Source organism: Homo sapiens, chromosome 4 (assembly GCF_000001405.40).
Source record: "Homo sapiens chromosome 4, GRCh38.p14 Primary Assembly".
In the NCBI taxonomy this organism is placed as follows: Eukaryota; Metazoa; Chordata; class Mammalia; order Primates; family Hominidae; genus Homo; species Homo sapiens.
In genome coordinates, this window is record NC_000004.12 from 90,798,363 (window position 1) to 90,824,936 (window position 26,574).

General features: G+C 36.4%; 1 protein-coding gene across 28 annotated transcripts in view; it reads left to right on the forward strand.

Annotated features, from left to right (window-relative positions):
- CCSER1 (coiled-coil serine rich protein 1) overlaps positions 1–26,574 on the forward strand; it is a 1,477,902-nt gene that overhangs the window by 670,969 nt on the left and 780,359 nt on the right. For all 28 annotated transcript variants that reach the window (XR_001741218.2, XR_938733.3, XR_938734.3 and 25 more), the window contains one exon: positions 17,400–17,483. Coding sequence is in view for 23 of the 28 variants with exons in the window: in XM_011531936.2 (XP_011530238.1) it covers positions 17,400–17,483 (84 nt within the window). In the remaining 5 variants the exon portion in view is untranslated. The remainder of the gene's footprint in view (positions 1–17,399; positions 17,484–26,574) is intronic.

Sequence of the window (26,574 nt, forward strand, 5' to 3'; positions counted from 1 at the left end):
TGTCAGCACCTGCATTATTTATCAGGATTTTTAGCTTCCTTGTACTGGATTTTAATATACTCTTGTAGCTCAGTGATCTTCATTCATATCCATATTCTGAATTCTATTTCTGTCATTTCAGCCATCTCACCCTGGTTTAGAACCTTTGCTGGAGAGGTGATGCAATCATTTGGTGGAAAAAAAGGCCTTCTGGCTTTTTGGGTTGACACAGTTCTTGCACTGATTCTATTTCATCTTTGTGGGCTTATCTACCTTCAGTGTTTGATATTGCTGACATTTGCATGGGTTTTTAAAAATTCTTTTATCCTATTTGATGACCTTCAGGGTTTGATTGTGACATTACGTGGATTCAACTGACTGGCTTTGTTTCTGGAAGATTTTAGGGGGTCACTGCTTAGCCCCCAACTCCTGGACTATGTGCTCTCACTCTGGGGGCTTGTATTAAGCCCTGACTTTGTTCTCTTGGCTCCTTGATGTTAGGAACCCACTGCACTGAGGTGGGGGGAGGCAGTGGGTGGTGGCGGAAGGTGCTTTCAGACCACAGGTCACAACACTCTGATGGGTGGTGCCAGCCAAAGCATTTTTTAGTGCAGTAACAGTAGGATCAGTCCTCGTTCTCACGTGCTAGCAGCAACAGTAGTGGCAGCTGCAGCAGAGTGCCAGCAGGTGCCATGGTTCCTGCCTCCCTTCAGGCATTCACCACAGTGGTGAAGGCAACACAGCTTGGCGGTGAGGGGGGTCTCTGTTGGCAACTGTGTGTATGGTCACACTGGAGGTGATGTTGGCTCAGGGGTGGGGTGCTGGTAGGCACAGGTCTGGGTGTCTTCTCTGTGTCCCGGAAGGTGGAGTGGTCACTCAGTACGAGGGAGGATCTGCTGTTCACTGTGCAGTATTAGCACAAGGGCAGGGTGCTGGCAGGGGAGAGGTTGGCTGGTTCTGTGCCTGCCAAGGCTCTGTCTGCTCTGCAATGGCAGTTGGCGGAGGGTGGGGGACAGACAGTCTGTGAGGTAAGCAAAGAAAAATCCATCTGGGCAGACACACACCAGCCAAGTGATGTGGGACCCTGGGGAAGCTACAGTATGGGGAGAGAGTGTGCAGGCTGGTGTGTGGCCGTAGGCGTCGTGCCACTGGAGCTCTCTGCAGCTCAGGCACAATCCACCAGTGCAGAAGCTATGGGCTCCCAAGTAACCCGAGACTGCCCTGCAAGCAGTCATGGCCAGTCTGGGGCCCCAGGAGAAGCCAGAAGACTAAGGGGTGCTCAGGTCGCGCAGGCCCCATATGATGGGCAAAACTGCCTGACAGAGTTCAGGTCCAGCAGTTCCCCATGACTAACGTCTCCTATGGGAGCAAGTCAAACCAAGGGGGTGGCTATCCCTGGCAATATTCTGTTACACATGCTCCCACATAAAAACCTCTGGACTCCACATCAGCTGGCTTGCTGTCCTTAACACTTCTTTAAGCATCTCTCCCTGCCAACACAAGTGTCTGTAGTGGTCAACGGGGCTCCTCCTGCCAGTGATTCAGAGGCCCATGGTGAGAGCAGACTGCCCCTTGCCAGTTCAACTGACCCATTCCCTGGGAGCCACTGGGGGCCAGGAACAAGTCCTGTTGCACGCTGGACCCGTGCAGAGTTCCGAGCTTTCTCCTGCTTCAGCCCAGCTTCTGTGTCTTCCTTCTGTCCACTCTTGGTGCCTTCCCTCTGAAGGCCTGTTAGGAGCATGCCAGTCATCTTGGTCCCTTGGTGGTGCTGTTTCCCATAATTTCTTAATTTAGGAGGTTTAGGTAGATAAATAGATAAAATTTCCTTTATTCCTATGTAAAACACAAAAAGCCAGTAAGCATGCTTCATAACAGAAAGGAACTTTTAATATAATGTTTTAAACCATTTTTTCTTTTCTTCTTCTTATCATTATTATTTTTTGTAGAGACGAGGTCTTACCATGTTGCCCAGGCTGGTCTCATACTCTTGGGCTCAGGAAATCTTCCGCCTTGTCTTCCCAAAATGTTGTGATTACACACATAAGCTCTGTGACTAGCTTTTTATTTTTTATTTTTTTCATGTGTAGTTTACATTGTGGGAGGAGACATGTAAACAATTTCTTACCTTGCTTAAGAAATACAGGTAGAATATGGCATTTCCTAGCTATCTCCTCTGGGAAACAAAAATGCTGGAATCAAGAGACTCTCACAACCTCTTAAATGCATTACTTTCTCCTAAAATGTCTTATCAAGCAATGCCAGTGAGACAGTGTAAGTTATCGCTTTATCACTTGTTGACTGTTTCTGTTAAGAAGCTCATTGTTGATAAGTTTGTAAAGCGACTTATGTCTTAAATATAGTTCCAAATCGATTTTTAATGAAACCCATGGGTTTTAGGAGATCAGAAAACTAATTTATGTTGTGTAGTAACTCATTCTATGACCCTGGGAAATTTGGTTCTCATTCTTCTACATGCAAAATACTGTCATTTTAAGATAGCTTTAGAAAAGTAAATACCAATGTTTATTTTTAAATTTTAAATTTTATGAAAGAATTGGATCAAACAAAAAAATAAGGAAAGACTTGAGTAGTGTTTTTATAAAGATAGGTTGAAATGCTCTGTTCTCTTACTGTATAATCGAAAAAAATCAGTAAGATGGGCTACATTACATTAGAAAAGTTGTACAACCTCATTATTTTTTATTGTTAGTTCAAAAAAATGAAACAAAGAGGACACTAACAAATTGGAAATGACAAGAACATAGTCTCATGGAACTTTTTTGACATCTTAACAAATTTATCATTGTAAGCTCATGTTTTTAACTTTTCCAAAAAATGTAGGACTTCAGTGAATTTTGTTGAGAGGCTGATGAACACTTTCTTGGTATTATGATATATGTTTTTCTTTTATTTCATCTTTGCTACAATTACTTTCTCTGCTTACTTTTTATGTCTGAAACCCTACTTATTCTAGAAATGTAATATGTTTTCAATAACAAATTAAGAAAGATTGTGATAGTAAAACATAGTTTTGTACAAAGGAGTGTTTTTTAAATGATAAAGCCTCTGTACAAATGTAAGGTGGTATTATTATTTTTTGAAAGATTTATATCGGTAAGAATTTTTAAGATATTCTAAGAGTACCATTCATTGTCAAAAAGATTATGCTGATATCCAAACATTCTTCCTCAATTGCTTGAAAATCTTAGGAGATATGCCACTGTATCAAGAGACAATGCTATTTCCTTATTTGACTAATATGCTAAAAAAATACATTTCTAACATACTGGCTTTGAACAACTGTTTTCTCTTGACCATCCCGTAAAAGATAAATTATTAATAATTTCAATACTAAATTAATAAATGCCATTTACTTTGATCATGGATATATTTTAAAATTACATTATAGTTTGTGTTTTATTTGTAAACTTCATCAACATTTCATATAAATACCAGAGAAAATCAGAGTAAATATAATGTCTAAGAATCATTTGTTTAGTTTTATTTCAAAACTGTAAAAAAGACTTAGAATATACAATCTATGCTATTGTTTGGTAATATATTTTTTAGTTCTTTAGAATATATGTATAATTCTAGGCTGGGGGCGTTGTCTCACGCCTGTAATCCCAGCACTTTGGGAGGCCAAGCGGGGTGGATCACGAGGTCAGTAGTTCAAGATCAACCTGGCCAATATGGTGAAACCCTGCCTCTACTAAAAATACAAAAATTAGCCAGGCATGGTGGTGGGTGCCTGTAGTCTCAGCTACTTGGGAGGCTGAGGCACGAGAATCGCTTGAACCCGGGAGGCGGAGTTTGCAGTGAGCCAAGATCATGCCATTCCATTCCAGCCTGGGCAACAGAGTGAGACTCCATCTAAAAAAAAAATAAATTAATTACAAATATATAAATATAAATATATATAATATATATTATATGTAAATATATTTATATGTATATATAAAATTCTGTGGGTAAACTATGTGAATTTTACCTCTAGTAAATGTAGTTGTATAATCAGTAAAGATATCCTAAAAATATTATGCTTTTAAAATTTTTAAATAGTATTTCAATAGTATTCATTTAATAGTATTTAAATAGTACTCATTTAAAAAGTACACTTACTGTAAATCAATGGAATGTTAATCTCTTAAGTGAGCATATAAAGATAGATCTACAATGAATTTTTAGTTAATGTTTATAAAAAAATTTTATAGCATCAAGTAGTAATTATTAATGCTGAAATGATATATAAAATATTTTTTAATTGTTTTGCGCTAACTAATAAAGAAACAAAATTGTGGTTTTCTTAACCTTGTTTTCAGTATTTGAGAAGCAGTGCCTCCCATGGACCTATTTGGATGAGTATATACCTCCACTGATTTATTTCACTAGCTACCCAGGTGTTGCAGACAGCATGCTACTTTGAAACTAAGTCAACATAAGAATTATATGAGGTCACTTATTTAGGTAGAGCAGAATATATTGTCAATGATTACACATCGTTGTGTTTTCTCATCTCTGACCTCTGTCCTTGGCCATATTCCTTTTTTCTTTCTTCTTTTTTTTTTTCACTTGTTCATAAAATTCTGTCCTTGTTTGCCCTGATAAAGTTGTCTGTTTTCTTTGTTTTTTAATCTTTTGAATTTTTTGTTTATAAGAATAAGGAAACAGCTTGTAAATCTTACAGTAAAGCCCTCCAGAGAGAAGACCAGCAGTCTACAAATACAAAGAAAGTCATGATGACTCAATGTCAAACTTGATGTGTTTGAGAAGCCAAAAATTATGTTCATAAATTTACTGGAGGAATTATTGGGAGGTTTGTGAGAATTAGAAATTATTATTTGTTTTTTATTTGCATTTTTTAATGTTTTTGTCTTTTTTTAAATTATACTTTAAGTTCTGGGGTACATGTGCAGAACATGCAGTTTTCTTACACAGGTATACATGTGCCACAGTGGTTTGCTGCACCCATCAACCTGTCACGTACTTTAGGTATTTCTCTAATGTTATCCCTCCCTTAGTCCCCCACCCCCTGACAGGCCTTGCTGTGTGATGTTCCCCTCTCTATGTCCATGTGTTCTCATTGTTAAACTCCCACTGATTAGTGAGAACATGTGGTGTTTGGTTTTCTGTCCTTGTGATAGTTTGCTGAGAATGATGGTTTCCAGCTTGTTCTATGTCCCTGCAAAGGACATGAACTCATCCTTTTTTATGGCTGCATAGTATTCCATGGTGTATATCTGCCACATTTTCTTTATCCAGTCTGTTATTGATGGACATTTGGGTTGGTTCCAAGTCTTTGCTATTGTGAATAGTGCTGCAATAAACATATGTGTGTGTGTGTCTTTATACTAGAATGATTTATAATCCCTTGGGTATATATCTGGTAATGGGATTGCTGGGTCAAATGGTATTTCTAGTCCTAGATCCTTGAGGAATCACCACACTGTCTTCCACAATGGTTGAACTAATTTACACTCCCACCAACAGTGTAAAAGTTTTCCTATTTCTCCACATCTTCTCCAGCATCTGTTGTTTTCTGACTTCTTAATGATCACCATTCTAACTGGCGTGAGATGGTGTCTCATTGTGGTTTTGATTTGCATTTCTCTGATGACCAGTGATGATGATTATTTTTTCTTATGTCTGTTGGCTGCATAAATGTCTTCTTTTGAGAAATGTCTGTTCATATCCTTTGCCCACTTTTTGATGGGGTTGTTTGTTTTTTTCTTGTAAATTTGTTTAAGTTTTTTGTAGATTCTGGTTATTACTCCTTTGTCAGATGGATAGACTGCAAAAATTTTCTCCCATTCTGTAGGCTGCCTGTTCACTCTGATGATAGCTTCTTTTGCTATGCAGAAGCTCTTTAGTTTAATTAGATCCCATTTGTCAGTTTTGGCTTTTTTTGCTGTTGCTTTTGGTGTTTTAGACATGAAGTCTTTGTCCATGCCTATGTCTTGAATGGTATTGCCCAAGTTTTCTTCTAGAATTTTTATGGTCCTAGGTTTTACGTTTAAGTCTTTGATACATCTTGAGTTGATTTTTGTATAAGGTGTAAGGAAGGGGGTCCAGTTTCAGTTTTCTGCATACGTCTAGCCAGTTTTCCCAACAACATTTATTAAATAGGGAATATTTTCCCTATTGCTTGTTTGTGTCAGATTTGTCAAAGATCAGATGGTTGTAGATGTGTGGTGTTATTTCTGAGGCCTCTGTTCTGTTCCATTGGTCTATGTGTCTGTTTTGGTACCAGTACCATGCTGTTTTGGTTACTGTAGCATTTCAGCATAATATTATTGTTCAAAATAATTTATGGATTTTACTTGCTTTTAGTTTTTGACATTTGATTTCTATTTAGTTAATAGTCTTAAACAATGAGATAATTCCAAATACAGGCAAAATGCATTATAAAATGTATAAGACTGGAGTCAGGAAACTGAACCTGGGACAAACTACCCAAATTTCTGAGTATGTGGCTGTAACTTTCCGGATTTATAAAATAGAAGTACAGGAATGAAATCACTTGTATGTAATTTTTTATCCGTATTTCAGATTCTTTAGTAGGTTATATCATAAGAACATAAATATTGCTGATATACTTGAAATGAGCTATTTGAAAATCATTGCAAATATAATTTAAATCACAAAAATCAAAAATTAAATCACAAAATATTTACTTTAAAAAATTTACTGTATGCATTTTTACACAACTATAATGACATAATTTACACTAATCTGAACTATAATAGAGTTTGTCTCTATGTTTAGATGATCTTGTAACAAGTTATTTCAAAATTTAGTGGCTTAAAACTATAATTTTATTTAGTTCACAATTTTCTATGTCAAGAACTTGGGAATGATTCAACTGGGAAGTTCTAGCCTTGTGTTTCTCAGGCAGTTAGAGTGAGATGTTAGCTGAGACTTTAGTCACCTGAAGACTCCACCAGCCTAGATGTCCAAGGTAGCTCATACTCACAGTATTCAACACCCAGCATTCAACACCGGTTGATGTTGGGTGTCCTTTGGGAGCTCAGTGAAGCTGTCAGTGGAAGCGCCATGTGGTTTCTGCTTCTCAGCATGGCTACTGGGTTCTTTCTGCAAAGGAGTAACCTCAGAAGGAGCATTATAACTGACCATGATGGAAGGCCTTTCCTGATCTAATCCTGAAAGTCATGCAGAGTCATCATATTCTATTAATCATTGCAAGTCAATAAGACTAGCCAAGATGCAAGGACAGGAACATTAGACTCCACTTTTCAATAGGAATACTAGCAAAGGGTTTATAGCTGTCTTTAATCTACCACACTGAGTTCCATATTTATGGATAATTATTGAATTAAGAAATAATAGAATTGAATTTTAGTTCAAAAATTAATTACACTTGAATGAGAAAGAGAATGTCATAATTATTAAATTATATTTTTCCTATCAATGAATAATATGCATTTTTACAAGCACAGGGTCAAATTGGTTACATTAGCCTACAGGTTAATGGAATAACTTCATTTTGAATACCAAGAATATTAAAATCCTGTTCATTCTACACATCAATATGATTTCTAACTCAATAGATCATCCTTAAAAATATGTTCTAGAATTTTGCAAATACAATGAGAATTTTGATGGGTTATTGCTATCAACCCTCATTTGAGAGTAAGAGTTGTTTAAAGGCTTTCATTTTGCCTGCTAGATAGATATTTTAGGTTGGTGCAGAAGCAATTGCAGTTTTTGTTATATAGTAATGGCAAAAGCCTAAATTACTTTTGCACCAAGCTAATATTTATGTGAATGTTGCCACTGTATATATACAACTAAAGACAAAATGCTGGGTAGCAAAAATTCATTTGCAAAGCCATTCATAGAGAAGACTTTTATAAATTGTCTTCTTATGGCATATAATAAATATTTTATATGTGTTATTCCATAAATGAATGTAAATGATATATTAGCATCTATCCAGTTTAATGTGGTGAGATTGTGAACTCCTTCAGAAATTTTCCTGGGAATAAAATCTGAGAATTTTTTAAATGAGCATAATTTTGGAAAACTGAGTTTCTTTGCAGTTCCTAGTAGCCACAATATAGGGAAATGTTCCATTTTAAACTATTTAATTAACAAAATGTTAATTAATACAAAAATACTGTTGTTAATTGTTCAACAAAAACAACTGTAGTAGATATAGGCCAAATCTCAGATCCCATCTCAATAAAGGACTCACTGACCAGCTTCCAGGAGTGTGGCTAGCCCACTACAGCATTAGCTTTTTCAAGGGTCAGCCTCAGCTCTCCAGATGAAGTTCAAGCTCATCACTGGGTGATCTGAAGCAAAGGCTGAGATCTAGCTATTCATGAGGCACTCCCCAACCAATGAGTGAACAAGGGAGTAGTACAAGAGCCAACCCACTTTTGCTCAACAGGGGGATTTCTGTAACAGGAAATCTTAGCTATGAGCCCCTCATTTGGCTCATAGAGAATTTGTTAGTAGGAATCAAGGTTTGACTGTCCCCTACTCAATCCTGAATCCTCTTCTTTTTTTTTTTTCTTCACATTTCCTTTCCTTTCCCTTCCTTAATAAACTTTATGTATCCTTAACTCCATTTGATTCCTGGAGAACCAACTTGTGACATTTTATTTTATGAATAAAATTAACTTTTCTTAAGTGACATATTATGCAAGACTTTGGTAATATAAGTAGTAATACAATAGAGTTTTTGTCGTAAGGTGGTTATAGTTTGGTGTCATCATCAACCTCCACAGAAATTTCCATGGGACTAAAGAAGTTAAGTAACTAGCACAGAACTACCTGGCTAGTTACTTGTAGCATCCAGGATTTGATCCTGTATCTCTCTGATTGTAAGAATCATGATTATTATCTTACCTGCATCCTACTATGCTAATATTAATATTTCCTTTGCAATGTAGAGCAGGTAAAACCTTTTACCATTAACAGTAATATTTAGAGTCTAGGAGTATAAGTATTAAAAATGAGTATAATCCTTGTCCATAATACCCAAGATTTGGGGAAGAAATTGGACTACTGTAAAAGAGGTGGAACAGAAAGAGTTAATAAGCATCTTCCTTGTAGTCAAGCTGGTTGTCAGCAAATGAAAAGATATATTAATAAATTACAACTAAGCTAGGTGTGGTGGCTCACACTTGTAGTCCTACCTCTTCAAGGGGCCAAGGTAGGAAGTTTGAGGCCAGCATGGACAACATAAAGCAACTCCATCTCAACAAAATATTTTAAAAGTTTCTGGGTAAAATAATGACCATGGTGAAAATCGAATCAAGAACTCAGTCTCATTTACATTTGCAAAAAAAAAAAAACTTATGAATATACTTAACCAAGGAGATGAAAGAGCTCTGTAAGGACTATAAAACACTGATGAAAAAAATCATATATGACATAAAAAATGGAAATACATCCTATGCTTAAGCTCATGGACTGTTAGAATCAAAATTGTGAAAATGACCATATTGTCCAAAGCAATCCAAAGATTCAATGCAATTCCTATAAAAATACCCCAACGTCATTTTTTGCAGAATTAGGAAAAAAAAATTTTAAAACTTATGTGGAACCAAAAAAGAGTGCTAATAGCCAAAGTAATCCTAAGCAAAAAGAATAAATCTGGAGGCATCATATTACTTCAAATTTTACTACAAGGCTATAGTAACCAAAACAATATGGTACCTGTATAAAAGTAGATACATAGACCATTGGAACAGAATAGAGAACCCAGAAATAAAACCAAATGCAACAGCCAGCTGATCTTTGACAAAGCCAACAAAAACATACACTGAGCAAAGAACACCCTATTCAATAAATGATGCTGGAAAAATTGGATAGCCAGATGTAGAAGAATGAAACTGGATCCCTATTCTCACCATGTACAAAAATTAACGGAAGATGGATTAAAGACTTAAATCTAAGCCCTAAAACCATAAAAATTATATTAGAAAACCTAAGAGAAACGATTCTGGACATTGGCTTAGGCAAAGAATTTTTGACTATGACCCCAAAAACAAATGTAACAAAAAGGAAAATAAATAAATGAGACCTAATTAAACTTAAAAGCTTCTATACAACAAAAGAAATAATCAACAGAGTAAACAGACAACTTATAGAATGAGAGAAAATATTTGCCACCTGTACATCGACAAAGAACTAATATCCAGAATCTACAAGCAACTCAAATCAGCAAGAAAAAAAATAAATAATCCCATCAAAAAGTGGGTAAATGACATAAGCAGACATTCCTCAAAATAAGATATACAAATGGCCAACAAACCATATGAAAAAATGCTCAACATCACTAACCAGCAGGGAAATGTCCATTAAAACCACAATGAGATGTCACTTTATCCAGAATAACCATTATTAAAAAATCAAAAGACAATAGATGTTACCATGGATGTGGTAAATGGTGAAAATGGAATACTTATGCACTGCTGATGAGACTATAAATTAGTACAACCTCTGGAAAATATTATGGAGATTTCTCAAAGAACTAAAAGTACCTCTATTATTAAATTCAGCAATCTCACTACTGGGTATCTACCCAAAGGAAAAGAAATCATTATATCAAAAAGACATGTGCATGCATATGTTTACCACAGCACAATTCACAATTACAAAGATATGGAATCAATTTAAGTGCCCATCAACTGATAAATGTATAAAGAAAACATGGTATTATAAGTCAGGCACGGTGGCTGATGTCCGTAATCCCAACATTTTGGGATGCTGGGGTAGGAGGATCACTTGAGCCCAGGAATTTAAGAACAGTCTGAGCAACAAAGTGAGACCCCATTTCCACACACACACACACACAATTAGCTAGGCATGGTAGCATATGCCTGTAGTCCTAGCTACTCAAGAGGCTGAGGCAGGAGGATCCTTTAAGCATAGGAGGTTGAGGTTACAGTAAGCTGATCATACTACTGTACTCCAGCCTTGGTGAAGAGCAAGATCATACACACACACACACACACACACACACACACGCACACACACAGCACACACTGTGGAATACTATTTAGCCATAAAAATAACAAACTAGTGAAAGTATTTTGCAGCAACTTGGAAGTAATTCAGGAATGGAAAACTAAATACCCCATGTTCTTATTTATAAGTGGGAGCTAAGCTGTGGGTATGCAAAGCCAGAGTGATATAATAGACACTGGAGACTTAGAAGCAGGGAAGTGTGAAGGGAGTGAGGGGTGAAAAATTACCTATTGGGTACAATGTACACTATTTAAGTGATAAGTACACTAAAATCCTAGACTTCACCACTATACAATTCATCCATGTAACCAAAAACCACTTGTACCCCTAAAGCTATAGAAATAATAATAACAAACCAATGAAAATAAAATTAAAAAAATAATAAGGTAAAAAAAAAAAGTTAGTTGGATGTGGTGGTGCATGCCTGCAGTCCTAGCTACTTGGGAGGCCGAGGCAGGAAGATTACTTGAGCCCAGGACTTTGAGGTTACAGTGAGCCTTGATTGAGCCATTGCACTCCAGACTACTAGACAGAGTGATACCCTGTCTCTAAATAAATGAATAAGAACTATACATTCTTTGTAGTTCAGTATGGAAGAAGTAGAAATTCTACCATGAGAACCAGAATAAACAGGTATTATGTTTTCTCTAATCCTTTAGATGTTTTTGGTTGTTGTTGTTCCTTGTCAGCTCAGATAAGGGTGCCAGATTTCAGAGAAAATGGGTATACTGCTGTTTATACTGCTTATTTGGTAATTGTATTGGAAAAAAACATGAATTTGAGCATCTTCTTTTTTTCAAATAGAGATGGTGTTTCACTGTGTTACCCAAGCTAGTCTTGAAGTCCTGGGCTCAAGCTATCCTCCTTCCTTGGCCTCCCAAAGTGCTGGGATTACAAGCGAGAGCCACCATGGCCAGCCAAATTTGATCACCTTATATGTGTCAGTTATTATGTTTGGTGCTAGTAATATGGTAATGCAATAGAAACTATATGCTCAAATAGGGAATAAAACTAGTTCAGTGAGGCCAGGAACAGTGGCTCATGCCTGTAATCCCAGCACTTTGAGAGGTCAAGGTGGGCAGATCACCTGAGGTCTGGAGTTTGAGGCCAGCCTGGCCAACATGGTGAAACCCCGTCTCTACTAAAAATACAAAAAATTAGCCAGGTGTGGTGGCACGTGCCTGTAATCCCAGCTACTCGGGAGGCTGAGGCAGGAGAATTGAACCTGGGAGGCAGATGTTGCGGTGAGCCGAGATTGTGCCAAGGCACTCCAGCCTGGGCAACAAGAGCGAGACTCCCTCTCAACAACAACAACAACAACAACAACAACAACAACAACCAAAACTAGTTCAGTGAGGTTGGGGAACAAGCAAACAACACTTTAAGTATTGCATGAAATGATGTATGGTATGGATGCTATGGAGCATTCCCAAAGGGGTGTGCCACTTGGCCAAAAAGGAAAATCTTTCTAGTGAAATAAAGAGTAATTCTTTTTTTTTTTTTTTTTTGAGACGGAGTCTCGCTCTGTCGCCCAGGCTGGAGTGCAGTGGCGCGATCTCGGCTCACTACAAGGCCCGCCTCCCGGGTTCACGCCATTCTCCTGCCTCAGCCTCCTGAGTAGCTGGGACTACAGGTGCCCACCACCGCGCCCAACTAATTTTTTGTATTTTTAGTAGAGACGGGGTTTCATTGTGTTAGCCAGGATGGTCTCGATCTCCTGTCTCCTGACGTTGTGATCCGCCCGCGTCGGCCTTCCAAAGTGCTGGGGTTACAGGCATGAGCCACCGCATCCGGCAGGAGTAATTCTTGAGATGTGTCTTGGAGCATGAGGTATTGTGAGGGAGAGAAGGATACAACGGGTAGAAGGCAATAAAATCCAGAAATTTGCATGTGTAAAGTGAGGAGATGTGAAACAACATTGCATTTCAGTGCTGTAGGAATGAACAAAGTGAGGAGGTTGAAAGTCAAAAACTTGCAGCTCCGGAAATAAGCAAGTAACAGTTAATGAAGGGTACAATACACTATGCTGAAGAGTTTTGATTTTCTTCCTGAAGGAGAAGATGATTAGCTGTTAAATTAGGAAGTGACAAAATTAATTCCTGCTTAGAAAAATCTCTCTGGCAAATAAGGAAAGTGATAGAGATAAAGGAAAAATCACTTTAGAGACAATTACAGAAATTTGGGTAAGAAGCAACAAGTACTTAGACTGTCAATGTGGAATGGAGAGGAGTAAGTCCAAGAAATAGTGAAGAAGTGGAGATTAAATTTGGTTCCAGATTTGGTTCAAAGTGAGTAGCAGCTGAGCGTATATGATGGCTTCCTGATTATTAATTTAGGAAATAGGAAGATAATGGGGAAATCAGCAGAAGTGAAGTCTTAAGGTGGCGGAAGAGGATGTTGAATTGGAGTGTCTGTGGAACAATATTGAGTATATGTTTAGTGAGTAGTTGTACTTAAGAGCTGGAGCTTGGAATACAGATAATTCTGGATTAGCTAGTTGTATCTTGTAGTTACTAGCTGTATTAGTCAGGGTTCTTTAGAGTGACAGAACTGATGGAATATATATATACACACACACACACACACACACACATATATACACTTAATAAACTCACATATATATACACATATATATATATATATATATAAACACATATATATATATGAGTTTATTAAGTATTAACTCACATGATTACAAGGTCCACAATAGGCCATCTGCAGGCTGAGAAGCAAGGAGAGCCAGTCCAAATTCCAAAACTGAAGAACTTGGAGTCCAATGTTCAAGGGCAGGAAGCATCCAGCACAGGAGAAATATGTAGGCTGGGAGGCTAGGCCACTCTCTCTTTTCACATTTTTCTGCCTGCTTATATTCTAGCCATTCTGGCAGCTGATTAGATTGTGCCCCCCCAGATTAAGGGTGAGTCTGCCTTTCCCAGCTCACTGACTCAAATGTTAATCTCCATTGGCAACAGCCTCACAGACACACCCTGGATCAATACCCTGTATCCTTCAATCCAATGAATTTGATACTCAGTATTAACCATCACACCAGCATAGAGTAGTAGAGGCCATGGATGTGGATATATTGTGTACATTGAGGTCGTGGTTGGGTGTACATGCAGAGTGAGAAGATTAAATGCCCAAAGATTGAGCTCTAGTGAAAGGCACAATTGTTACAGGGACATCACTAAAGATGAGCACTGTAACATGGATATTGGTTTGAGAATTAATATTTAATTATAGCCAGGGACCAAATGGTAGATATAGTATCTATACTAGTCCATTTTCACACCACTATAAAGAACAACCTGAGACTGGGTAATACATAAAACAAAGAGATTTAATTGACTCACAATTCTGTGTGGCTGGAGAGGCCTAAGGAAACTTAAAATCATGGCGGAAGGCTGAGGGGAAGCAAGGTACTTCTTCACAAAGCAGCAGGAGAGAGAGAGAGCTTAAGGGAAACTGCCACTTTTAAGCCATCAGATCTCATGAGAACTCCCTCAGTATCACCAGAACAGCATAGGGGAAACCACCCCCATGATCCAATCACCTCCCACCAGGTCTCTCCTGTGACACATGGGAATTACAATTTAAGATGAGATTTGGGTGGGATCACAGAGACAAACCATTTCATTCTGTCCCTGGCCCCTCCCAAATCTCACATTCTTGTCACATTTGAAAACCAATCTTGCCTTCACAACAGTCCCCCAAAGTCTAACTCATTACAGCATTAACTCAAAAGTCCAAGTCCAAAGTCTCATCTGAGACAAGGCAAATCTCTTTCATCTATGAGCCTGTAAAATCAAAAGCAAGTTACTTAACTTCCAAGCTACAATGGAGGTACAGGCAATGGGTAAATGTTCTTATTCCAAATGAAAGGAATTGGCCAAAACAAAAGGGCCACAGGCCTCATGCAATTCTGAAACCTGGTGGGCCAGTCATTAAATCTTAAAGCTCCAAAATCTCATTTGACTCTGTGTCTTACATCCAGGGAATGCCGATGCAAGGGATGGACTCCCATGGCCTTGGGCAGCTCCACCCCTGTGGCTCTGTGGGGTATATCCCCTGCGGCTCCTTTCACAGCCTGGTGGTGAGTGCCTGATATAGTTTGGCTGTGTCCCCACCCAAATCTCAACTTGAATTGTATCTCCCAGAATTCCCACATGTTGTGGGAGGAACCCCGGGGGAGGTAATTGAATCACAGGGGCTGTTCTTTCCTATGCTATTCTCGTGATTGTGCATAAGTCTCACAGATCTGATGGGTTCATCAGGGGTTTCCACTTTTGCTTCTTCCTCATTTTCTCTTGCCACTGCCATGTAAGTAGCATCTTTCACCTCCTGCCATGATTCTGAGGCCTCCCCATCCATGTGAAACTATAAGTCCAATTAAACCTCTTTTTCTTTCCATTCTCAGATACGTCTTTATCAGCAGCATGAAAATGGACTAATACAGTGCCTGTGGCTTTTCCAGGCACATGGTGCAAGCTGTTGGTGGATCTATGATTCTGGGGTCTGGAGGACAGTGACCCTCTTCTCACAGTTCCCCTAAGCAGTGCCCCAGTGGGGATTCTGTGTGGGTGGCTCCAACCCCACATGTCCCTTCTGCACTGCCCTAGCAGAGGTTCTCCTTAAGGGCTCTACCCCTGCAGCAGACTTCTGCCTGAACATCCAGGCATTTCCATACATTCTCTGAAATCTAGGCAGAGGTTCCCAAACCTCAACTCTTATCCTCTGTGTGCCCGCAGGCCCAACACCACATGTAAGCCACCAATGCTTGGGGCTTGTACCCTCTGAAGAAAGACCTGGGCTGTACGTTGGCCCCTATTAGCCATGACTGGAGCTAGAGCAGCTGGGATGCAGGCTGCCATGGCCCAAGGCTACACAGAGCAGCAGGGCCCTGGACACAGCCCACAAAACCATTTTTCACTCCTAAGCCTCCTGGCCTGTAATGGGAGAGGCTGCTTCCCTTGTTGGGAGAGGCTCCTGTACGGTGATGGGAGGCTGCAGTGAAGATCTCTGAAATGACCTGGAGACATTTTCCCCATTGTCTTGGCTATAACATTTGGCTCTTCATTACTTAGGCAATTTTCTGCAGTCATCTTGAATTTTTCCCCAGAAAATGGGTTTTTCTTTTCTACCTCATGGTCAGGCTGCAAATTTTTCAAACTTTTATGCTCTGCTTCTCTTTTAAATAAAAGTGCCTGTTTCCAATAATTTGTTTTTGAATGCATATGACTGAATGCATTTGGAATCAGCCAGGTCACCTCTTGAATGCTTTGCTGCTTCGAAATTTCTTCCACCAGGTACCTTAAATCATGTCTCTCTAGTTCAAAGTTTCACAGATCTGTAGGGCAGTGGCAAAATGGCACCAGGCTCTTTGCTAAAGCATAGCAATAGTGACCTTTACTCCAGTTCCCAATAAGTTCCTTATCTTCATTTGAGACTACCTCAGCCTGGACTTTGTTGACCAAATCACCATAACATTTTAATCAAAACCATTTTAGTTTCTAGGAAGCTCCAAACTTTCTCACATCTTCCTGTCTTCTGAGCCCTCCAAACTGTTCCAACCTCTGCCCATTACCCAGTTTCAAAGGTGCTTCCACATTTTCAGTTTATCTTTATAGCAGTGCCCCACTCCAATCACCAATTTTCTGTATTATCCATTTTCACATTGCAATAAAGAATGATCTAAGACTGGGTATTTATACAGGAAAAAGGTTTAATTGATTCACAGTTTCTCATGACTGGGGAAGCCTCAGGAAACTTACAATCATGGTGGAAGGCTAATGGGAAGTAAGGGATGTCCTCCCAAAGTGGCAGGAGTCAGAGAGTCTCAGGGAAAACTGCCACTTTTAAACCATCAGATCTCATGAGAACTTTCTCACTATCATGAGAATATCATGGGAGAAACCACCCCCATGATCCAATCACCTCCCACCAGGTCCCTCCCTCCACACGTGGGGATTACAATTCGTGATGAGATTTGGGTGGGGACACTGAGCCAAGCCATATCAGTATCTTTTTAAATGTAGAGTTATTTCTGTTCTACTTACTATGTATGCACAAACATGAGAGGGAATAATTTAGGAAGGTTTCCTGGTTTCTGTCATAGGCAAATAAATCGATAGAGGAATACCAAAAACAAAACAAAAAACTAAGCAAAAACATATGTGTGTGTGGATGTGTGTGTGTGTGTGTGTGTCTACATGATTATGTGTAGCATAAAAGCATTTTTTGGATACATTAACTTATTTTTTGCAACTAAGAATATATTATGAAAAATATCATACTATAGAGGGAATTTGAGTTTCGTTAGTCAGATGCAATTATCTCCCACTGTGTGAAGCTGACTTTCCTTATCAAGAGCAAAGTAAAAGGGCTAAGCCTATTATGCTGTCTCTTTGATGTTTTTATAGGATATAATGAAAGATGAATGCTCGATGCTCAAGCTGCAGCTGAAAGAGAAGGATGAACTCATTTCCCAACTTCAGGAAGAGCTGGTAAGTGATAACAATGCTTGGCCCACGAGTGTACTTTACTTTCAAGGTTATTTGTTCCACGCCCTTATTTATTAACACCAATGGCATTAGTTATTTGTAAATCCTTCCAGTGGTTCAATCCAATGATCAGTTTTTATAATTCTGTCATGAAAACTATAGATCTTTGACAAGCTGAAGAATAGAAAGGATGTTTTATAATATATGTGGAAATGTATATGGTTCCAGAAACATATCACTGAACCAGGATTAAACATTTCGGTTGTATCTATCAGAAATCTTGAAGGCTTAGGCCACATTGTTTTTGTAAAGTGCATGATTTAACTCCATAAAGCTATACCTAAAGATACAGATCTATAATATAAAGCAAAATACTTGATCTAGCAAACAAAACCAGATTTTACATTTTACTTTTATAAAGCCATCAAAAATACATTAACCTAATGAGACTTCTTGTTAATTTATTATATAGTTCCCAAATTATGTAAAAATTATACAAAAATATGCAGTGTGTGTGGTTCAGGTTTTAGAGTATGGTTTTTAATGTAATATCATGAAAGAAAGTAAGGAATTACACTTTCATAATATAAAAATACATTTGGTAGATAGCAGACAGAGCAGTGGGCATTATTTTTTCTAAGTATGTGTTTTCTATGTATCTATGAATATTAACAGTATTTTGCAATAAAATGTGCACTCAATATAAATTTTAAAAGATAGTACTCTAAAACAATAATTAAATAGAAAGAAATAAGAAGAGATATTTTTAATTCATCATTCATTTTTACACTAATAATAGATTAAAGAAATAACCATGCAATAAGAGAGACCCTGACTCATTATCAAGATCAAGAAACAAATCCTTCTCAACGTATTTTTAATGATTATTTCAGACTCACAATAGTGTATTATGTAATTATTGAACACAACTAAATTACAAAACAGACTTTATAGACCATCGAACTTCTGAGGACTCCTAACATATTAGTGAGATATTGGAGAAATTCAGAGCATAGTTTATAGACTCTTCACAACTGACAATGTTTTCCCTGAAACTTGATCTTTATTTAAACAGTGTTCTAGGATTGGATTGATGCTGATCCTTGGTCCCATTAACATGTTACTGTGGCTTTAGAAGACTTATAAACTAGTACTTAGCATAAGAATAGTATCACAGACAAAAGGAACACGTGTTACATTACCAAAATAACCTTTTATAAACCTGTAAGTAACATATTGTAGTGTCAATTTTATATATTACATAATGAAAACATTTCTTTATTTAAATATAGCCCTCTAGGTACATATTATCTAATAATGCTTTTTTACGTTGCATACAAAAATATCTTTGAGTTGACTAAATATCACCTATAGATATTTATTGCATAATGGTTAAAATAATCAATTTTAACATAGCAGAGTATTTATTACTTTGTCAGAGAGTGCTTATTTTGAACTTGGGTAATTAACTCAGAAAAGAGTATTCTTTTTTTCTCAGCATTAGTTATGATCAGTTTTAAAACATTCATATACAAGAAATTGGACCTTCATTTGCTGAATTAAATGAAAAAGAAAATGATTACTTTCAAAGACAGTACTACATAGTTATAATTTAAAAAATTTAGTATACCTCCATCTAAAAAAGTCCTATATATTTCTTTTTCTTTTCTTTATACTTGAATTACTCAAATTGGCTACTTAGTTTCTAAAATTTCTCAGGGAACAATCAAGCAGCATTTTAATTTTGTGCTATTGTAGTTTCCATAATCATCTTGAATAAACAGGAAAAATGTTAACTTTAAAAAAAATATAGTTTATTTTATTAATTAAAAAGGACTGCAGCTAAGGGAGAAGTATGTAATTGGTGATTCAAGAATTTTACTTAGAGGAAACATGGTTGGAAAAAAAATTGTCATTCAAACTGGATTTGGAGCATGGATAAGAAATGCCAATCATGTAGGCCAATACAAACCCCTTGCATCCACGGAAAATTTTGGTCCTCCTATTTCTGGTCCTGGTAATAAATAACTTGTGACATTTTGTTATGGTGGAGGTTAAATTTTACACTTATGCTTTACTTACATTGAAAATTTCAAAAAATTTTAGAAACCAGTTGAGTTATACCCTACTATATACTACAGGTTCATAATCTTTAATAATTTAGAACTGATTCAGTTTTCTATTCTTTCTCATGGGTTTCTGATTTCTTGACCACTGTTATTATCACAAGCAATTGTATCTACATGTATGCTGTAGAATGAAATTAGATGTAATTGTACCAAGAAAGGCTTTATTCCCAATTAGTAATTAAGAAAGTTTTAAATTTTTTGATTATTTATATTTTTGAGTTAGCCTCATCAATAGTGGGAAGAGTTGTAAAAAGTTAGGGACAGAATGGGTCTAGAAAAAAAGAAATGTTTTTCTTTTCTTTTTTTTCTTTTTTTTTTTTTTTAAGATAGAATCTTGCTCTGTCACCAGGCTGGAGTGCAGTGGCATGATCTCAGCTCACTGTGCAACCTCCACCTCCTGGGTTCAAGCGATTCTCTTGCCTCAGCCTCCCAAGAAGCTGGGACCACAGGCACACGCCACAGTGCCCGGCTAATTTTTGTATTTTTAGTAGAGACGAGGTTTCGCCATGTTGGCTAGCTGGTCTTGAACTCCTTACCTCAAATTATCTGCCCACCTCGGTTTCCCAAAGTGCTGGGATTACAGATGTGAGCCACCACTCTGGGCCATAACAAGTTTTTTAGTCATTTAAATGCAAGTGTTTTAGTCATTTGTTTTTAGGGCATGGTTTCTGAACAATAGTGCTGGTGGCACTTTGTTGTGTCTGTGCTATGAATTGTAGGACGTTTAGCAGCATCCCTAGCCTCTCTCCTCTAGATGCCAGTAGCACCTCTACACATTGCCAAATGTCCCATGGGGGCAAAATTGCCTCCAGGTGAGAACCACTGCTACAGGGATATTAGATTAAATGTGTAGTCCCCAATGAAATGGTATGTTATAGAAAAAACATCTATTTATAGATACCCAGGAAAAAAACAAAAAACTCCAGCACAAGAGATGCACCTTTCCTTGGGCTATTAAATATGTAACTGTTTGTACACTGTATTTATCTACTAAGGCTACCAAAACAAAATGCCATAGATGGGGTGGCTTAAACAACTAAAGTCTATTTGTCAGATTTCTGGAGGATAGAAGTCTGAGATCCGGTGCCAGAGTGTTGGGATTGTGGTGAGGGCTGTCTTCCTGGCTTGCAGATGGCCATCTTTTCGGTATGTGCTCCCATGGTCTTTCCTTGGTGCATGCACATAGGGAGAGAGAGAGAAGAGGGAGAAAGAGAGATCATGTGAGCCCTCTGATGTCTCTTCTTCTAAAGACACTAATCCTGTCATAAGGACCCTACCTCATGGCCTCATCAAAACTCCCATCATCTCCCAAAGGTCCTATCTCCAAATATCATCACGCCGGGAGTCAGGGCTTCAATACATGAATTGTGGAGCAGGGGGAACAATTCAGTACATAGCACATACTCTTTGTGCTCATGACTGTTTAATATTAGCAAGTTCAGTTGTGGAAAATTAGAGAGTTCTACTATATATTTTTTTCCAGCATTAAATGCACGTTTCAAAAATTATTCTTTTCTACCATATGATTTCAAAATTATTACATTGCCTTAATTCTTTTTTATTGCTGGGTGGGTAGATTTCACAAAGCATAAAGACACTGAGAAACTGAAAATAATAATTTCGATTTAGGATTATATATTGATATTATTTGGGTAAACTATTCAGATTATTAATTGCATTTCTAATGTGAATGTATTTTTGTATTTTATAGCCACACTTCCAATTTATTCCTTCTTTTTAAAAAGAAAACAATAAGCTGTTTGTACTCTTAGGAACAATTTTAAAAAGTCAAGACTTATTATCCCTGAAATATTTATGCATTACTTACCTTGGTGAGATTTACTGTTTTCAACAGATCGAGATAAAAATAATCACTTGTAATTGTTTTATTATGTCCAAAGGGATATTAAATGTTAGAATATTACAGTGTCCTGGGATTATGTGCTAGGGAAACTAATTGGAGAAAACGAGACATACATTCTGTAGCCAGAAGTTTGCAGTATGGTAAACAGAGAGGAAACTAGTTCACAGCATGGAACATCTACTCCCAACTGTTCTATAATAGAACAAAATCTCCTCTGCATTAAATAAGAAATAGAGCAAAGGAAAAATTTCTTCTCTTCATCTTCCTGGGGCCTTAGCTTTCTTTACTTGAGGAGAAGAGTGAGTCAATATGGTGATATGGAAAATTGGGATATGAGTTTCTTGTCCTACCTCTAATCTTAATTGCCTATGTGACCAGATTTAGGTATTTTTCTCTATTTGGGCATTGGTTTCTTCAACTGTCAAATAATACCACTGTATGTTTTGGTCTGTTTTGTGCTGTTCTAACAAAATATCACAGACTGGATAATTTATGGTAATTTATAAAAACAGAAATATATTTCTCATAGTTCTAGAGGCTGCTAAGTTCAAGATCAAGGAGCTAGCAGGTTAGGGCCCATCTCTCTGCTTCCAAGATGGTGCCTTGAAAGCTGAGGGAAGGAATGCTTGTCCTCACATGATAGAAAGGCAGAAGAGTATGAATCTGCTCCTGCAAGCCCGTTTTATAGCAGCTTTAGTATATACATGACATGGAAGCCTTCACGAGCTAAACATCTCTCCATAGGTGGCACTTCCCAACACTGTTTGGGATTAAGTTTTCAATGACAGAATTTGGGGCGACATACTCAGACCATAGGACCATAACATTAAAAATATTACATATTTATCAATAGTGAATTTGATAGATTATAGCATATTTATATTTATATAACTGTATTATATATTATATATATTTTTATAGCTATGTTGCTTATAAAATTATTAAGTGGAGGGAAAAGCAGATTTTAGAACAGCATATTGTATAACACGATGTGAAAAACGTATATTGTATAGAAAGTCTAGAATAATTAATAGTATTTAACTTTGAGAAATTAGACTGCTCAATTTCTGCTTTAATTTGGTAATGTGTCATTTTTAATAACAAATATATTACTTGTATAATCAGAAAAACACCAGACTACTTCTTTGGAAAATAAATGAAGAATTTCAATGTGTTTAATGGTTTTCATTCCGTGATCAGTGTGTGTTGGGGGAAATAAGGGCCGCAGAGGGATCCTGTGGATTTCTATTCCCCACCCACTTAATGATAGTAGCCCTCATTTCATTGTTTTTTGCATGTCATTACTTATTACAGTATCATTTCAATCAATAAGCAGTTTTTATTTAATGCATATCATTATACTCCTAAGATTTTATTTGATGAAAAACCACAGCTGAGAACAAAATCAAGCAAACAAACCAAAACCCTGAACAAGATGATTGCTAAGAACTACTGCGAACTATTAAACAGGGTGGGAAATGAGAACAAAAGCTATGACATACACCTCAGTGAGAATTATTACACATCATGGTGATTGGAGAGAATATTAGCTAATTGAGGGCATGGAAAAGAACCAACGTTCAGAATCAAAAATAAAAGGAGGACTTTTTTGATAATTAAATGTTTGGATAAATAGTTTAAAATATAGGTTCTATTTATGTTGTAGAATATATTGGACTTTTTGAATATTAGAAATACATCACTCTTATCCAACAGAAAGATTTAGGGATTTTACTAATTTAATTTATTAAGATATTTAAAGCAGAGCTATAGATTTAGACCAAAAGTCTAAACATAATAGCTAAACGTATGCATACTTAATCATAATTAATTATAATAAAAGGTATTTTAAATATTTGCATCATAAGTTTAATTTATTACACTTAATGATATAAAACAGAGAGATATTTTTCTCACTTCTGAGAAAGTTTCAGTGTCTTTCCCTCAGCTATTTTGTGAAGGTTATGTTGAAGAATGCCATGTAATTTTATTGCTTATATGATACTGAAGGGCACTGTAAATATTATCCTCAGGTTACTAAAATAAATTTGAGATATTTGTCATAAATGTTGATGGTGAAGTGTAGTCTTGTGTTTTGGGGGGATGGATATGTTCTTGTAAATGATTATTAATCTTATCAGTGGTTTCAAAAATCTTATACATGGTTTTACACTATGGATGAAGAGTGTGTACCATACGACATCAGAAATTGAAGAAAGTATATTTGGTATTTATTAATAAATTAATTCAAAATATTTTTTAAGTAAGTTAGAGTTAAATTACAAATGAAAACATAATAAATTTAGTTAGTTCTATGACCGTGAAGAGAAGAATTTAATTGTCCTAATTAAGGTTAGTAGACGGTGCTGTGAATTTACTGTTTTAACTTGGATGACAATTTACATATACACTTTCAAAAATGTTAAACAGATTTGTATGGATAATCACATTACTAAATGTAAGTTGTCAGCAGTTTATATTTCTGAACTTTTGGGGTTTCTACCATTCAGAATTTTCCTGTTGGACACTTTTATTTGTTTTCTAGCCGATCGGGGTAAAATGTATCAGATACAGCTTTCTATGTCTATTTCTGTAAAAACATATGTGTTTTGGCTGGGCCTGGTGACTCACGCCTGTAATCCCAGCACGTTGGGAGGCCAAGGCGGGCGAATCACGAGGTCAGGAGTTTGAGTCCAGCATGGCCAACATGGTGAAACCTCATCTCTACTAAAAATACAAAACATTAGCTGGGCGTGGTGGCGGGCACCTGTAATCCCAGCCACTCCCGAGGCTGAGACAGGAGAATCGTTTGAACCTGGGAGGCGGAGGCTGCAGTGAGCTGATAACGTGCCATTGCACTCCAGCCTGGGGGACAGAGTGAGACTCCATCTCAAAAAAAAAAAAAAAAAAAAAAGTTTCTATTTAAAAGTCCAATTCAAATGGGTCACCGGAAAAACAAAATAGATTTTCTGAAAAAGTAAGTTTATTAGCCCTCTGTAAAATAAACACTTTAATAACAGCCCTTAATAACATTATTTAAACAAAAAAGCAAAACAAAAATACTTATTATGTTTTCTTTCATAATCTTCCTCTGTTTACTAACATTACAACAACTATACTTTTCAATGCTAGTGAAATTTAAGTTACCTCTGTTTACTAACATTACAACATCTATACTTTTCAATGCTAGTGAAATTTAAGTTACCTTCACCACCACATCTTTTTAAGCAGTAAGGGAATACATTGACTGTAGGAATAATGTATGACTATTATCAGAGGCAAAAATTTAAAACATGTCGGTAATGAGAGACTCTTTCCTAAGAAGATTTTTTTGTGGGTCTGAATTCTAAATGTAGGTTATGATTAAGTTTTAAACTTCACACACACACATACATACACACACACACACATTTTTCCCCACACACTTTAAAATTTTTTTCAATTATCACATTTTTTTAATTACCTGTCCTTTAATAAACAATGCATTTTTAAATGGAAGTTTAACTAGGAGATTTCAGTTATGGAGCTGAAACACTCAACGATTCCACCACACATTTTTATTTTGAGAGTTAAGTTTGTGATCTTAAGTCAGAACCTTCCAACTAGCTGTAAACTGTTTGTGTTTCTAAAATTTGAGGTGCTACTTATTAATGTATTCAAATATAGATTTCAAAATAAGCAATGAGAGCATAGTTATTGTAAAGACAAAGACATGGAACTTGAGATACTTAAATTATATCAGTTAATAGTAACCATTTGGAGTATTTATTTGTATTTAAGATTCAAAACAAAAGAATAGTGTGTGAACCGTGAGCTCTCTATTTTGGGGGGGGATGTTTGGACATTTTAGTTTATAATTAAATATTTTACTGAATTTTAATAATATCTTCAAAACTGAACTTTATTTTTTATTTTAAAATGTTAATTTTACTTTTAAAATTAAAGCACAATTAAAAAATAAATGTTACATCAAGAGCGTGATTTAGTAATTACCTATACTGTATCTTCTGCAGACTCTTTTTTTATTAAACAAATATTACATTTATTAAAATTTACTTTTTACTTTTTGACATATAGTTTACACAAAGTTAAATAAAAGTTTTAACTAGCTTCATTTCTTTTCTGGCCATTATTAATATTAATTTATTGCCATATTATTTAATCCTATGTTTTTCTTTTAGAAGAGGACGGTTAAAAATAAGCTTTTCAGGCATCCATTATAATAGATACATCATTGAGTTGAACACTTTTTCCTCCCGTAATGTAAATATGAACTCAAGAAAGCCAGGCCTCATTAAAAAAAATGTTTAAAAACATGTATCCCTTTTCGTGTTATTCAACCTACTGTGTTCTCACTCAAAGCAAATATTGAAAATTATATTCTTACTTGAGTGTAAGTAAGCATGTAAACAATCATGTTTCTCCAACCTTTTCAAATGTAATTTACTTTATTAACTGTAAGGCAAGTTCTCGGCTCATTTGTTAACAATTGAATAGCAAAACATGGGACTGAATAAAGGCACTTGTAGAAATGATGATTTTTGAAAAAAATTGAAGGCAGTTGAAAAACTGAAAGTGTATCATTATGTGTAATCAGGTTACTATGCATAATAAAAAGGGTGAGCTAAAAATAAAAGACTAAGAAATACATATGGCTAACTAGCACTTTATCAGAAATCTAGAGAGGAGTAATTTTGATACTTTCAGAATTCAAATTGAATAAAATGGTATGCCCTTGATACTTTAATAACAGAATAATTCCTGCATGATAAGAGAAACATTCTTTGTGCATGAAAATCATATCATGAATTTATCTTAAAAGTAATTCCCCACTTGCTCTACATTCTATTATAATTTATGGTATTATTTCATGCTAGTCATTTTAGAATAGAATATTACAGCTCCATGGATGATTTACATAGAAATGGACAGCTGTAAGTACTTTCAAATCCTCTTTCTTTTTCATATTTAGGAAACATTACGAACAGAAAAGTAATAGATTAGGTATACTTAAACATTATTAAAGTGTCAGGCTACTTTCCTTCTTTTTTCAGGAGAATTAATTGCATATATTCCAGAAAAGGCTTATCTCAGCAGTAAT